Source organism: Homo sapiens, chromosome 17 (assembly GCF_000001405.40).
Source record: "Homo sapiens chromosome 17, GRCh38.p14 Primary Assembly".
In the NCBI taxonomy this organism is placed as follows: domain Eukaryota; kingdom Metazoa; phylum Chordata; class Mammalia; order Primates; family Hominidae; genus Homo; species Homo sapiens.
In genome coordinates this window covers 50,043,399-50,057,505 of record NC_000017.11, presented here as the reverse complement: position 1 = coordinate 50,057,505, position 14,107 = coordinate 50,043,399, and the positions used below count along the sequence as shown (strand labels likewise).

At 54.5% G+C, this 14,107-nt stretch overlaps 1 protein-coding gene and 1 long non-coding RNA gene across 4 annotated transcripts in view, besides 3 other annotated features; one reads left to right on the top strand and one right to left on the bottom strand.

The window, feature by feature from the left end:
* The window catches only part of ITGA3 (integrin subunit alpha 3), a 34,372-nt gene extending 32,976 nt beyond the window's left edge, over positions 1-1,396 (bottom strand). For all 3 annotated transcript variants that reach the window (NM_002204.4, XM_005257308.3, XM_047435922.1), the window contains exon 1: positions 861-1,396. In NM_002204.4, the coding sequence (NP_002195.1) occupies positions 861-1,066 (206 nt within the window). In that variant the 5' untranslated portion in view covers positions 1,067-1,396. The remainder of the gene's footprint in view (positions 1-860) is intronic.
* Positions 1,323-1,462: a silencer, noted in NCBI's record as "silent region_8678". NCBI's record gives its function as "represses an Ori minimal core promoter by ATAC-STARR-seq in GM12878 lymphoblastoid cells {active_cell/tissue: GM12878}" and the evidence as "EXISTENCE:reporter gene assay evidence [ECO:0000049][PMID:35858748]".
* Positions 1,767-7,157, top strand: PICART1 (p53 inducible cancer associated RNA transcript 1). Its single transcript, NR_038230.1, has 3 exons — positions 1,767-1,877; positions 3,879-4,013; positions 4,871-7,157. It is a non-coding gene; the product is annotated as a p53 inducible cancer associated RNA transcript 1 (long non-coding RNA).
* Positions 2,442-2,968: an enhancer, noted in NCBI's record as "H3K4me1 hESC enhancer chr17:48131902-48132428 (GRCh37/hg19 assembly coordinates)". NCBI's record gives its function as "activates a minimal SCP1, AML or CMV promoter by ChIP-STARR-seq in naive H9 embryonic stem cells {active_cell/tissue: H9 hESC(naive)}" and the evidence as "EXISTENCE:reporter gene assay evidence [ECO:0000049][PMID:30033119]".
* Positions 8,623-9,252: an enhancer, noted in NCBI's record as "H3K4me1 hESC enhancer chr17:48125618-48126247 (GRCh37/hg19 assembly coordinates)". NCBI's record gives its function as "activates a minimal SCP1, AML or CMV promoter by ChIP-STARR-seq in primed H9 embryonic stem cells {active_cell/tissue: H9 hESC(primed)}" and the evidence as "EXISTENCE:reporter gene assay evidence [ECO:0000049][PMID:30033119]".

Genomic DNA, 14,107 nt, shown 5'->3' with positions numbered 1-14,107 from the left:
TGGAGTGAGGGGGACCCAGGAGGCTGGGTGCAACCTCCTCCTCCTTCCTCCACTGTGCATAGCTCTTCCCCTCCTCCTTGCAGCTGTTGGGGAAGGAGAACAGAAGAAAGAGAAAAACACTGTTTCCCTCTTCAAACCAAAACAAACACACTCAGGGTTGAAGATCCAACACGAATCTGTGGAATGCAGGGAAGATGTCTGCGGGGAGAGTGCCACTGCTTGCGGGTGGGCAGGAGGAGACCCAGCCAGAGTTGGGACAAGTCCTCCTCTCTCTTTCACCGCCCCTATCCTCAAGGCGTCAGAGGGAGCGTATGGACAGCTCCAAACGCCCAGACTCACCCATCGCCTCACCCTCCATCCGCCAAGCCAGCGGTTGAGAAGGCCATCCAGTCTGGCTCTGCAGAGGGTGTGGCTGGCGTGGCCGCAGACTACCAGCGAGGTGCTTAAATGTATATGCTCATTTTTCCCCCAAGCGTACGGGAAGGGGGGAGTCCGCTGGGTGTTTATCTTGCAGTTTACCCCAGCTCCCAGCCCTGGAGAGAACAGGCTAGTGCTGGGTACTCGGTTCACAGAATGGGAGAGGACTCAGCCACCGGGACCCCACTTCCGCTCTCATGAGAGATCTAAAGGGCGGAGGGGTGGCGTCCAGACAGGTTCTGGCCCCGTCAGCACTTGCCAATGATTACTGCCCGACCCCACACCCAATCCTCCACTTCCCGCCAACCCCCAGCAGCCAGAGGGCCGCCCCTTAATCCTGGCTCCCAAGGGCCAGCTGCCCTGGGCTCCGACTCAGCTCCGGACCCGCATCCCGCGCTCGCACACTCTCTCGCTCCCACCCCACACCCTCCAGCTTCACTTACAGGTAGCGCTGCTGCCGCTCTGTCTGCCGATGGAGGGCGACCGAGTAGCCGAAGAGGCTGCCCGGGTTCCCGGCCTCCTTCACTACCAGGAATCGGGTATCCAGGTTGAAGGCGGAGACGACGCAGCCGCCGGCCGCCACCATCAAGGCGAGCGCACAGAGCATCAGGCGTGGGGCGCGGGGCGCGCGGCTGGGGCCGGGGCCCATGGCTGCCAGCGGAAGCGGGGTCCCGGCGAGAGCGCGTGAGGGCGCGGAGCTGGGCGTGAGGACCTGTTCACCTGCTCCCCGCGCCGCCGGAGGACACTGGAACCCGCCGGCCGCTGCGCTCCGTAGCGCTGATCGGTTTCGTGCCCCCAGCCCCAGCCAGTTTCACAGCTGCGCTCTCGGATCCCTTCCTAAGATCCGTGGGTCTATCTTCCTGCCTCCCCAGCGGCCGGGTCGCCGCCGTCCCTGCCCCGGGCAACCGGCCCCCAGCTTGTCCCGGCCGCGCCCCCTTGGCCGCGCTGTCGCCTTCGATCCCGGCTTCGCGGCGGATCTGGCAAGCGCACCGGTCGACCGCAAGGAGGACAGGAGGGAGGGGTCCCCCGGCGCGCGCCCCGCCTCCCCACGCCCAGTCCCGCACCTCCCCACCTTGCGAGCCCAGCCCGGGCTGCGCTTTCCTTCCGGGGAAAGAGAAAAAGATCCCGGCTCGGCCGCCTCCTCTTAAAGGGGCAGCACCGCCCCTCCCTCCTCATCCTCCCTACCCCAGCTCCGCCTTCTCCCCCAAACACCTGTCGGCAACCCCCAAAGGCTTAGATTTCCCCTCCCCGCCCCTCGCTTCTCCGAGAAAGCGTCGCCTGGGGAGCAAGATGGATGTGACGGGCGGGGCCGGGGGTGGGATTTGTCTGGCCGCTTTCCTGCGGCTGCTGCTGCTGCTGCTGAAAAGGCCAGCCGGGCTGGAGAGACCTGGCATTGGCGCATCTGGGAACCGACGTCCGTGCGCGGCTGGCTAGAATGCTGGACTCGCCTCCGCAGCGCTGTGAGTCCCCAAGAGGTGGCTGGCGGTCTCTGGGAGTTCTTCCTCGCACTCAGGCCCCTCGCTGTCTTTGCCGAGATTTATTTCTCCTATCCACTCACCCTGATCCGAGCTGAGATTGGCTCCTCAGCAAAGACAGACATATTTAGCAGTGGTAACAACCAAATGTCGCTAATTATAATTACCAAAAAGCATTTTTCCCCCTAAGTGCTGCGACTTCTGGTATCAAAGGCTAAGACTGTCAATGTAGAAATGAGTCCGTCCTTCACAGAACGCACTGCGTAGCCGGGAAGCTGAGCCTAGACCGTATCCATTTCTCGTCCACTCCTGCCTTCAGGGCCCAGCCCAGCAGAATCCCAGAGGCTCCCTCTTCCCACCCAAGCTCGAACAGAGTGTTTGGAGACTGGGCTCGGACGTCAGCACCCATCAGGTGTTTGGTGGGTAGGGCCAGGTGGCAGTAAGTGGGCGGAGACTAAAGGTCTCCTCCACCAAGGAATCAAATCGAAAGGGAACTTCAAGAGGTTACTCTGGCCAGGCGCAGTGGTTCACGCCTGTAATCCCAGCACTTTGGGAACCCGGGGAGGGCGGATCACGAAGTCAGGAGTTCGAGACCAGCCTGGCCAATGTGGGGAAACCCTGTCTCTACTAAAAAAATACAAAAATTAGCCGGTCGTGGTGGCGGGCGCCTGTAGTTCCAGCTATTTGGGAGGCTGGGGCAGGAGAATCGCTTGAACCCGGGAGGCGCAGGTTGCAGTGAGCCGAGATCGCGCCACTGCACTCCAGCCTGGGTGACAGAGTGAGACGTCGTCTCAAAAAAAAAAAAGAGGTTACTATGTACTTTCTTGGATCTAACTCACATTTCTCTTATTGCAGCTCAGAGACCCATTTTCCCCGGAACATTGTTTTTTTGTTTTGTTTTGTTTTGTTTTTGAGACGACGGAGTCTCGCTCTGTCTCCCAGGCTGGAGTGCAGTGGCGCGATCTCCGCTCACTGCAACCTCTGCCTCCGGGGTTCAAGCGATTCTCCTGCCTCAGCCTCCTGAGTAGCTGGGATTACAGGCGCCCACCACCATGCCCGGCTAATTTTTGTATTTTTAGTAGAGACGGGGTTTCGCCGTGTTGGTCAGGCTGGTCTCGAACTCCTGACCTCGTGATCCACCCCGCCGCCTCCCAAAGTGCTGGGATTACAGGCGTGAGCCACCCTGCCTGGCCTCCCCGAGCATTCTTTTCTCCATCTATTCTTAAAATAATAAGAACAAAACACCATGTATTAAGCACATACGCAGCAGGAACTATGCTAAATGCTTCACAAATGTTAAATCCTCACAACAATCTTTGAAGTGTTATCTCTGTTTTAAAACGAGAAAAATGAGGCTCAGGGAGGTTAGGCAATTTGGCAGAGGTCACACAACTAGGATTTTCATCCTGTGTTATCTGACCCTGGAGCCCTTAACTACTTATGCTAATAATGAACATTTATACACTACTTTGGGCGTGTCCAAGTTTGGTGGGTCCTGAAGCTTGTGCAATCTGGGGTGCTCTTTAAGAATAAAATTATTTTGTACTCATAAGAATTATGAGTACAAAATTAGATTCAGAGCCTGGGAAAGGGTCCTGGCCTAGCTTTACAGTTTACAAATCATTTCACAAGCAGGCTCATTTTATCCTCCTGGCCTCCCTGTGAGGTGGGGATTATGATATTCATTTGACTTAGGAGAAAACAGAGCCTCAGGAGGTTACCTGCCTGTCCAAGATCTGAATTTTATGGGAGGCAGAGCTAGGACTGAAGCCGCTGACCACAACCGTGTCTTTAAGAAGACAAACTCCAGGCAGATGGTTGTCAGACAGCTAGACATGCCTAAACAAAAGCAGCTGTGATAACAGCTTTCTCTGTGGTGTTTGGGGAGAAGACACTTGTCTCTAACGGCCCTTAGAACAGGATTTGTTCCTGACCTCTGACTTCCAGAGCCACCCAGCCTCTCTCATGGTCTGCTTTGTGGCCCAGGGCCTGCAGGGATTAGAAGACATGTGGGGTCAAGGAACAGGAAGCTGACCTGGATGGAAGTTGAACAGTGATCTTTGCTCTCTGCCTGGCTCCTGAGTCCTCTGCCATGTTCCTGGAGAAGAGGAGCCAGCCAGGGTAAGAAGGGCAGGGGCTTAGGGTGGAAACGCCATGTGGGTGAGGATCCTGCCTGAAACAGCTTTGAGAGTCCTGCGATGACAGATTGGCCCCATGCCAGGCCTTATCTCTTTGGACATCCCAAACAGGAATGACCAGCATGTCCGATCCTGGGACTGGGAGCCGGAAAGGGATGAGGGATGGTTTTTCCACTCCAGGGGAGTGTCCAGAGGGAATGTGGAGCAGAGCAGGGGCGACTGGTAGGGGGAGGGCCTGAGCTAAAGAATGTGGGGGAGTGTCAGACCAGTCTGGGGAGATGGAGTGGGAGTGGAGGGAGACATGGAGACTAGAAGGATCTCAGCTGGAGAGATGGAGAAAGAGAAATCTCAGGGTTCTTTGGTTTCAGTGGCACCGTCGTCTGTAGGATCATCTCATCCCTCAGTTGACTTTATCATGTCAACTCTTTATCTGTCAACCCTCCCCCATGGGGAAGAGACCCACCTAGAAACACACAGACAGACAGAGAAACAAGGACACAGGAATAATATGTGTAATGAGGAGTCTAAGTCCATTTGTTGATGTTTGCTGACAGATTTTAAGCCTCACCCTTCCCTCTTCTCTGTGCCCTACACCTGGACAAGCTGATAAGAAAGTCTGGGTGCACCCTCCTTTGGTGTTTGAGGGGGAATATTCACAAGCCCCTTCCTGAGGGAACCCTCACCCCTCAACCACAATAAAAACCCAGGCCAGTCTCCTTCCTGGCTCTCCCAACACATCTGGGACCTGCTTGAAAGACTGCCCCTGCTCCCCCTGGAGACCTCAATTATGTAAATAATAAACCTTTTCATACTCTCTTGGTGTTTGGGTGGTGTCGTCAGTCTTCATTCAAACCAAACCTTGGATGGGATCCATCTGCCTCTGCAGGTGACCGTAACAACATGCAAATGGTGAGTTCTGCTGGGGGGTCATGGAAGCTCCCTGGAGGAGGTGTATCTGGACAACAGGGAAAGAAAGGAGCTGGAGAAGAGAGGCAGAAAAATTGGGTCCTGGTTCAGGTGAAGTTTTCCCAGCTGGAACAATGACAATGTCAATATCCCACAAAGGCGGCTTCTGTTTATTTAGCGCTTGCTGTGTTCCCACAAGTCTTCCTCTACCTGCCCTCTCCCCAGCCCTCATCTCACTCTCCCAGAGCCCCAGAGCACACCAATGGACACCATCACCTCTCGGGCAGATCAGCACAGAGACGTGAAGCACACAGGCAGCTGCTGGAAAAATAACAAGGAATTGCAATGGTGTGCCCCTCCGTTGAATGCAAGCTCTCTTCTGCCTTCTCACCTTGGGCAAGTTACCTTCCGTTCCAGGCCTCGGTTTCTCCATGTGTGAAATGAAAGGGCTGGAGAGAAATCTCTCACTATTCCCCAATCTACATTCATTGTATCCCAAACCTTCTAATATCTGTTCAACGAAGTGTACCAAATCTCAGCTATTGGACTGAGACTCAGGGGTCTATCTGACTTGAATTGAAAATGCAAATTACTGAAGAGGGAGGGAGGGAGGAGTGCTGAAGATTGAATGGATTTATCAGATTTCCTTCTCCTATGGCCCAGATGCAGGCCTAGTCCAGGCGATTCCCCTGGCTCAGAATCTGCCAGGCTCAAGCATTCATTGACAGCCTACTATGTACCAATCCTGGGCTGAGTCCCAACCCGGGGATGACTTAGAGGAGGCCAGGATGTGGCCTCATGTTCTGGTTGCTCTCACATTTAAACAGGCTAAACCCACTTTGCATTGTATGTTAGGGGTGGTGCTTGTGGGACAAAGGGGGCTGTCAGAACATTCTGGCTGCCACATGAAGTTGACTTTGCCAGGACAGACTGGGTTGTGGGGGAAGGCAGCTACTGTAATAATTTGGCCAAGAAGTGGGCTGAGCAGGAGCAGGGCTGAGGGAGGGAGAGAGGGAATGAGTAAGAAAGGCCCAGGGTACTGATTTGACTGGGACTTCAGGGACAGGTGTGGGGCGAGAGGGATGCTGGAAGTGAAGGAGGGAAAGTGCAGAGGCTTTCTGGGGATTAATAGGCAATGATCTCTATGAGGGCGTGGTGAGTAGGCCCCAAACATCCGGGGACTTCCCTGCCTGCCATCCCTCTGTCTCTCTCTTCCTTTCCTACTGCCCAGGGCCTGGCCCTGCTGCACATGCCCTGCCCTGGCCCCCAGAGTCCCCTTCTTTCCTGGCTGGGAGATTAAGACTCTGCTGTGCCTACAGCATTCTCAACCTCAAGTCAAGGTGGCCCTTTGGAGCCCAGGAGGCCACATGGCTGAGTCAGGGCTGAGTCACCACCCCCCAAGGGCCTTGCCATTTCCTGTGGAGAAGCCTCTTTACTGGCAGGGTTCTGTGCTCAGGTGGGAAATCTGGAGAGGTCGGGGGCAGGGCTTCATCTACTTTTACCCACTAACTCCCTAGACACTCCACTGGGGGTAGAGGGTTCCTACACGTATGATGATCAAAACATGTGTCTGTGCACATGGGCCCTTATGCATTCACAGGTGTTTGCCTATGCGACTGCATGTCTGAATGTTTTATGTATATTTGAATATAGATAGGGAACAAATATTTATGGAGCACATATTATGTGTGCAGCCTTTTACGTGTGTTACTTTCTAATAACCCTAGGAGGCGTAGATGCCTCCCAGGCTATGGTTGAAAATACTGACATGCCCAAGGTGCAGGAGGTATGAATACCTCCCCACTGTGGCTGGTAACACCCCAGGTTTCTCCAACTCCACAGTGATGGGCTTTCCTCCAGAGCCGGTTCCTCAGGGGCAGGAGTGAGAAGTGTGTGTGTCTGTATTTATCCTTCCACCAGTGGCTGTGATTGGTCCTGTGGTTGGAAACAGGGTCAAGTAAGGCCCTTGGGAGTAGCTGGGTGAATGGACGATGGTGGCGTCCACCTTGGACATGGCACATACTTCTGGTCGGGTATCCACGTGGCTGGCCAACCCGGACCTGCCCTATTAGGGGCCATCGCCCTCATGGCTCATCAGTGCTGAGTTTCATTGCCTTCTTCGTAATGCAATACTAATGGATACAGGCATGTATCTGCCGTACACTAGATGAAATGTGGTTATTTGCTCAGGTAGAAATAAAGACTAAAATACCAAAGTGGGAAATCCTCTCCATTGTGCCTTACTGATATTTAGGTAAAAATTATCTTATTGGCTCTTTTTTTTTTTTTTTTGAGAGGGAGTCTCACTCTGCCCAGGCTGAAGTGCAATGGCACAGTCTTGGCTTACTGCGAACTCTGCCGCCCGGTTTCAAGCAATTCTCCGCAGCCTCCCGAGTAGCTGGGGTTACAGGCACACACAACCACGCCAGGCTAATTTTTGTATTTTTAGTAGAGACAGGGTTTCACCATGTTGGCCAGGCTGGTCTCGAACTCCCTCCTCAGCCTCCCAAAATGCTGGGATTACAGGTGTGAGTCACCATGCCCAGCCCATCTTATTGGCTCTTAATAACTCAGACCATATGGTGATAACTCCCAAATCAGCACCCTCCCAAGTTCTGGCCCCGTGAATTCAGTTGCTGAATCCAAGTTCCTGATTGGAAGTTCCTCAGGCACCAGCACTTGGGGCACCCGAGTGCTCTGCTCCAGGGGCTCATCCCCGCTGGAAGCTTGAATGTCTGCTCCTCCTTCTCTTCACCCAGCTCAGCCAATCACTGTGTCCCTGATTCTGCCTTCTTGCTGTCTTGCCAGTGTGTCTGCTCCTTTCTGTCCCTTCTCCCTGGATGACTGCCAGTGCTTCCTGTTGCCCTCCCTGCCTCCAACTCTCCCTACCACCTGCATGGCAGCCAGAGTGGGGTTCCTGCAAATCTCCCCAAGTCTGTTTCCTACTTGGTATGTCTGATGGTTTCCTGCTGCCCTCAGCATACAACGCCATCCCTGAGATGGCCCTGCTCATCTTTCCACGCCCCCCCCCTCCGCCCTCCGCTGCCCCTCACCCCTTCTAATTCTTCACCCAGGCCACAGAGCACCTTGCAGTTCCTCGATGGAGCCAGTCTTCCTCTTGCCTCCAGCCTTTTGCTGTTTCTCCACCACCAGTCATCTGGGCTACCCTCTATTCTTCCAGGAGGTCACAGCCTAGAAGTCACATCCTCTGAGTGGAGTCACCTGTCCACCCTTCCCTGGAGTAGGGATCCTGACCTTAGGTTTATCGTGACCCTTTCCACCTCCCCAGTCTGCCTTCAGCCCCCTCCGTCTCACTGGATCCTCCTTCTCTCCTTGGGCACAAGGCTCTTCTGATGGGCAAACACTATGGTCAACTTTGGCCCCTTGCCCTCTGACCTTTCTAGGGTGGCAGCAGCGACCTGTTGACCTCTCCATCTGTATTTTATTTAAACTCCTCTCTACCCTCTCCTTCCTAGAACTCTCTCCCTCTTGCAAGATTCCTCAGTCCACTTTGGGCCTCTGTTTGTGATTCTCATCTCTTATGTCTCCTCAGTTGACCCCTTGTTCGTTAACATTCTCCTCCATGCTGATGAAACCCGCCAGGCTCCAGCCTTGATGTTTAACTCTTGCCAGCCACCTCTGGCTGGCCGCAGGCTCCTTGGACTCCATGTATCCAGAAGTACTTAGCATCTTCCCTTCTTCCTCAACAAGGGGCTCCTCCTGTAATAGCCTCTGTCTCGGTGCCTGGTCCCCACTCCCAGCAGGATTCCACGAGCACACCTGCATGGCAGATACACCTGACAGCAATAACTTGAGAAGAATCTGCATTCGGAATTTGGAGCTAAGGAATCCGAGAGTGGGCAACCCAGAGACTCATTCCTTATCTATGAGGAACATCTAAGCCCCTGGCCCATCTCTCGTGGAATTCGAGCCATGGAGGGGACCGGGGATTGAGGTCTTTTATTTTGGGTTAAATGCGGGTTGCCAGGTAGAGGTTGCTGGGGCAGTGTACTAAGTGAAAATGCTATATAAATGCCATGCATTTTTCAAGCGGTTGTGGTTCTGTCTGGCCCACTGCCACTGGACTGTCCCTGCATGTAAGCTCCCCACAAACCCTATATCTCGTTCACGGACTCTGGGTCTCTTCCTCGGCCTCTTGAACCTGGTGCCATCAGTAGAGGCCCGGCACGACAGCACCAGGCCAGCCCATGCCACCCAACCTCTGCATGCGCCGGTGCCTCTGGTTGGGATGCCCTTTCCCCACTTGTTCAGTTGGAAAATCTCCACTTGTTCTTCAAAATCTTTCGTGAGCTTCTACTTCCTCAGTAAAGCCTTTTCCCACCCCAACGCCAACCCCCATCCCTAGTCACTCTTGAGTTGTCCAGGACTCGCACTGACTTCTCGCTCAGGCTGGCAGTATGATTAGACCAGTGGGACTGTGACCTTGGACAAGTCCCTTCACCTGCTTCCTCATCTATAAATTCCACATAAAGATGCCAAATTCATGGGTTTGTTGAAATGGAACTGGGGCCCAGAAGTCAGCTGCTCTCCCACCAAGTGGTGGTGGTTATGCTCAGTGTTGACCCCTGCGTTTCCCAGCCCCCATGGCAGCTTCTCCGTCACATGGCAGGTCTTCAACCACGGTGTGTCCAGCTGAGTTCCATCACCACGTACTCTATGGCACTAAAACAGGAGCCCAATGCAAGTGAATAAGAGGCCAGCCCTGTCTCTTTAATATCCCTTGCCTCCTGTCCCCTCCCCCACCCTAGGATCCTGTTGGGACAAACGTCTTGGCTCAGTGGGTTGAAAAAGAAAGTCAGAATTCTAAGGCATGAATCGCTGTGCCCACTGACTCACTTCCTCCTCCTCGCCTGCTCTGAATGGACTGAGGCCCTCAGTAACTCAGGCTGAAGCCTCCTCCCAGCCCTCACCCCTCATCACAGCTCCCACAAGCCCCCTCACTGCTGACCTCACCCCTGTGGGACTAATTACTGCTGGTTTGAAACCTGCTTGCAAGCGCCAGCCAAACTAAGGAGTTAGCTCTCCTAGAGTAGACTGAGGGAAGGCACACGCCCTGTTCTTGGGACCCCAGGTCTGATGCCCGGGGCAAGGCGCCCTTAGGGAGCTTGATCTGGGAGGCAACAAAAGTTCCCCATCCCCACAATGGCTCTCTCCTTTCCTGCCAGGATCACAGACATGCTCACTATTAGGCAGCCCTCCTATGGGTTTGGCCCTTGCCCCCTGAAGGCTCCTGTTTAAATGCAGGAGCCCTACCTGGCAGAGTACCGCTGGGTGCTCCCAGGCAGGAAGGGGCAAGAGTGACGGCATTGCCTACAGAGACTCTGGCCCCGAGGTACAAATGAGTCAAGCAACTATTAAGGTGGTCAGGGGTCAGGAGGGCCAGAACATGGGGAAGACCTGGGATAAAGAATGATTTAGTGGGGGCAGGTGGGGTGGGCAGGGGTTCCAGCCAGGCCCGTGGCACCTGCTTCTCAGGCTGTTAACAGGATGAGGGCAATGATGAAGGGGCTTTCGTGTCCTCGGAAAACAATCCCCCAAGACCTTGGCCTTCTCCCTGTGGAGGACCCCTTACCCACCTTGTCATGGACGTCAGGGACCCCTCTGAGTGGAGGAGTCAGATAGGGCTTGGGGGGTGTCAGGGCCACGCCCTCAATGGCAGAACCACCCTGGGCAGCATTTCTGACAGGTGTGACCCAGAGGCAGAGTGAGAGCCCAGCCCACCACACAGCAGAGAGAAGGGAGGGGAGCCAGATGCAACAGGAGCAGGGCAGTGGGGCAGAAACCACGGCACAGCAACATGAGGGACATAGGGACATGCTCAGGAAACACTGGTGCCTGCCCGAGTTTAGGCCTTGGCTTGCTGGCCTTGGAACTGAGGGGAGCTGATGGATTCATGCATGAGAATGAGCCGACAGCCTTTGTGGGTCCAAAGCTCCCTCTGATCGGGAGTTAAGGAGATCCACCTGGGAGTTAATATGGGGGTGAAAATGGGAAAGGGTAAGGGTCTGTGGAAATGTAGATAGGCTCGAGGGACATTTAGGGGAGGGGCTAAGCAGGAGCTGGTGGCAGGTGGGATACAGGGGACATGGGAAGAGGGCAGCAGCAAGGACAGCCAGGAAGTCTCTACCACTTCTAGGGCCTGGAGAAGCCCTAGAAGCTGGAGCTGGCAATTTGCCAAAGACCCTGGGATAGGGTTGGAGCTACACAAGGGGACTGAAGCCCAAAGGGACCACAAGGTGGTCCATGCTAAACCCATGAACAGAGGAAAATTCTTAGAGGTCTTTCCCTGGGGCCTTGGCTTTGATGTTGACCAGGCTGTGCCAGCCTGGCTTTGTGCGGTCAGGCTGGGCCCACAGGAAGCTCACCCAAGATAACCCTCCTAATCCCCAATTTCTTCCCTTCCCGTTCCCCTTCCCCTTTCTCTTCCCCTTCCCCTCCCCTTCCCTTCCCTTTCGTTTTCTTCGTTTTTTGAGATAGACACTGTCACCCGGGCTGGGGTGCAGTGGCGTGATCTTGGCTCACTGCAACCTCCACTTCCTGGGTTGAAGTGATTCTCCTGCCTCAGCCTCCAGAGTAGCTGGGATTACAGGGGCCCACCACCACACCCAGCTAATTTTTGTATTTTTTTTAGTAGAGATGAGGTTTCACCATGTTGGCCAGGCTGGTCTCAAACTGCTCACCTCAATTGATCCACCCACCCTAGCCTCCCAAAGTGCTGGGATAACAGACGTGAGCCTGTTTGGCCCTAATCCCCAATTTCTATAGGCCTTTCACCACTTGCACCCTGGGCTCTAGTTCCTCAGCTCTGCTCTTCCTTCCAGCCCTCTTCTCATTCTAGCTTCTTGGTGACCCTGTCTGCAGCTCCAGTGGTCCCTACTTCATTCATTCTCTGAGAGTCCCTCCCTCCTTTCTGCACCTGAAGGTGAGCAAGGTGGTTTGCAAAGGACCTCAAACTCTGGGCTGGGGAGCTGAGCTTTGGGCTTGGTTCTGTAAGATATCCAGGGTTGGGTTTTGAGTGGGGTCAGATCAGGGAATAAGATGGCCTCCTGGAGCCAGGAGATGATTGACTTGAAGGGAAGGGAAGGGCACCGTGTGCTGGGCCCAACGCCAGGTGCTTCCCATGGATGGCTCAGTTAACCCTCCCCACGGCCCTGAGAGTTGGGCATGGCTATTATTACCTCTTTGCAAATAAAGAAACTATGGCTCAGAGATGACCAGAGGCCAGTTAGAGGCTAATGTGCATTGGGGTGGGAGGGACCCCATGGCCTGGGAGTGGGGCCAGGATGCAGGCCATGATTGCACACTGGCAGGGACGGTGGGTGTGCAGTGCCATGAGGCCTTCTCAGGGCTCACCTTCAGCCCCTGTCCTCCACTCTCTGCACAACCCCAGCCTGTGAGGCAGGTCTTCATGCCCCAAACACCTGCCTGCCACTTTCTCCAGGACTTTGCTTGGCGGGCCCTCTCCCTGCAACACTCTAGCTTCCTCTTGCTTGTTGAAAGCTCCCCTTCCTTCAAGGCCAACTGAAATCCACCAACTTCCAGGCTTCCCAAGTCTTGGCCGATGCTTTCCAGTTCAGCATAGGTCTGTTTCTCCCTCTGATGGAGCATGAGCCACATTAGGTCACCTATTAGCTTGGGTGAAGTTGCTTCAGCTCTCCATGCCTCAATTTCTCTATCTGTAAAATGGAGTTGATAATTGCACCCCAATCATAGAACCCTTGTGGAGAGTAAATGAAGACTCAGACAGTGCCCAGCACATAGTAAAATAAATAGAAAATAAACCCCCTTCCCTGGAGGAGGCAGACAGGGCAGGGTCCCGGGGGTCTTGTCTTGTTTGCCTATTTTCTACTGGGATGATGGCGGCCATGGTGGCAGGGCGTGGCAGCAGCTGTCTCTCCACCAGGAGCTCTGACCTCTAGGAAAGCCAGCTCAGACCCTCTTTCTCCACCCTGCCAATGGCTGCTACTACAGTGTTCTGCTTGGATGGAGATCAATGATGTGGTCAAATTGAACCTCCTCTGGTCCATTAAAACACTTACGATGTCCCCGTGGGTCCTCTCAGGTCCCATCACTGTGAGGCATGTGTGTTTCTATGGGTACCCAAGAGTTGGCAGAGGGATCAGCACCTGGGGAAGGTGTTCCCATCACAGAGGACCCCAGAAAAGGCTCTACCTAGGGCTCAGACTGAGACTCCAACACAGGGATGGGGAGGCAGGGGGAAGTGGGCATCCTGGAAGAGTGGGGGAAATTGGGAGAGGCAGGCAGAGAAAAAGGGATAGTCGTTTTTATTGGGAATTTTACTGTGCCAGGCCTTCATGTATATTATCCTTGATTCTTCATGACAAGCCTGTGAGATCAGTCATGTTTTCCCCTTTTCCAGAAGAGGAAACAAAGGCCCAGACTGGCAAAGTGACATGCCCAAGGTCATGCGCAGTGCGAGGAGCAGAATTCTCCCCCAGATCTGCTGGGCTCCGAGAATGGCCCCAGCGGAGAGATGACGGAGGCCGAGGATATGGGAGAATTCCAGTCCAGGCCAGCTGCCCACTCAGCCAGGGAGGGACACTGTGGGCGTGGTGGAAACAGCCACCAGAAGCCAGGGGCATGCAGCAAACAACGGTGCCAGGAAATGAACCGGACCTGGGGCCCTTCCTCCGCCCCACCCTGTGCCCCTGGCTGCCTGCCGCCTTTCATTCCCGATGCTCCCTCCAAGGAAACAGAGAAAGCTAGGTTGAGACCCCAGGGATGGCCCTGCATGGGGGAGGAACCAGGAGGGTCTTGAAGCCCAAGAGCAGCTCTGCCGGGCCTAAGCCTCCTTCCCTGGAGGAGGGAGACAGGGCAGGGTCCCAGGGGTCTTGTCCTGTTTGCCTCGGACTGAGTTCAGATTGGAGTCTGAAACAAAGGAGATACTCAAGTAATATGCTGCATGGAGGTGCAGCCAGCATGGCGTCAACACTGCCCGGCAGAAGGGGCAGAGACCTGGGCCCTGATGTCACCTCTGTCCCTACCTTATGACCCTGGAGGAGTTGCAGAGACCTCCCCATCCATCAAGTCAGGTCATTATGCTGGAATGCATACCACTACTTGGATCCCTTCCAACTCTGACAATCCAGTTCTATTCATTCTTTTACTCACTCACTAACTTGTTCTTTC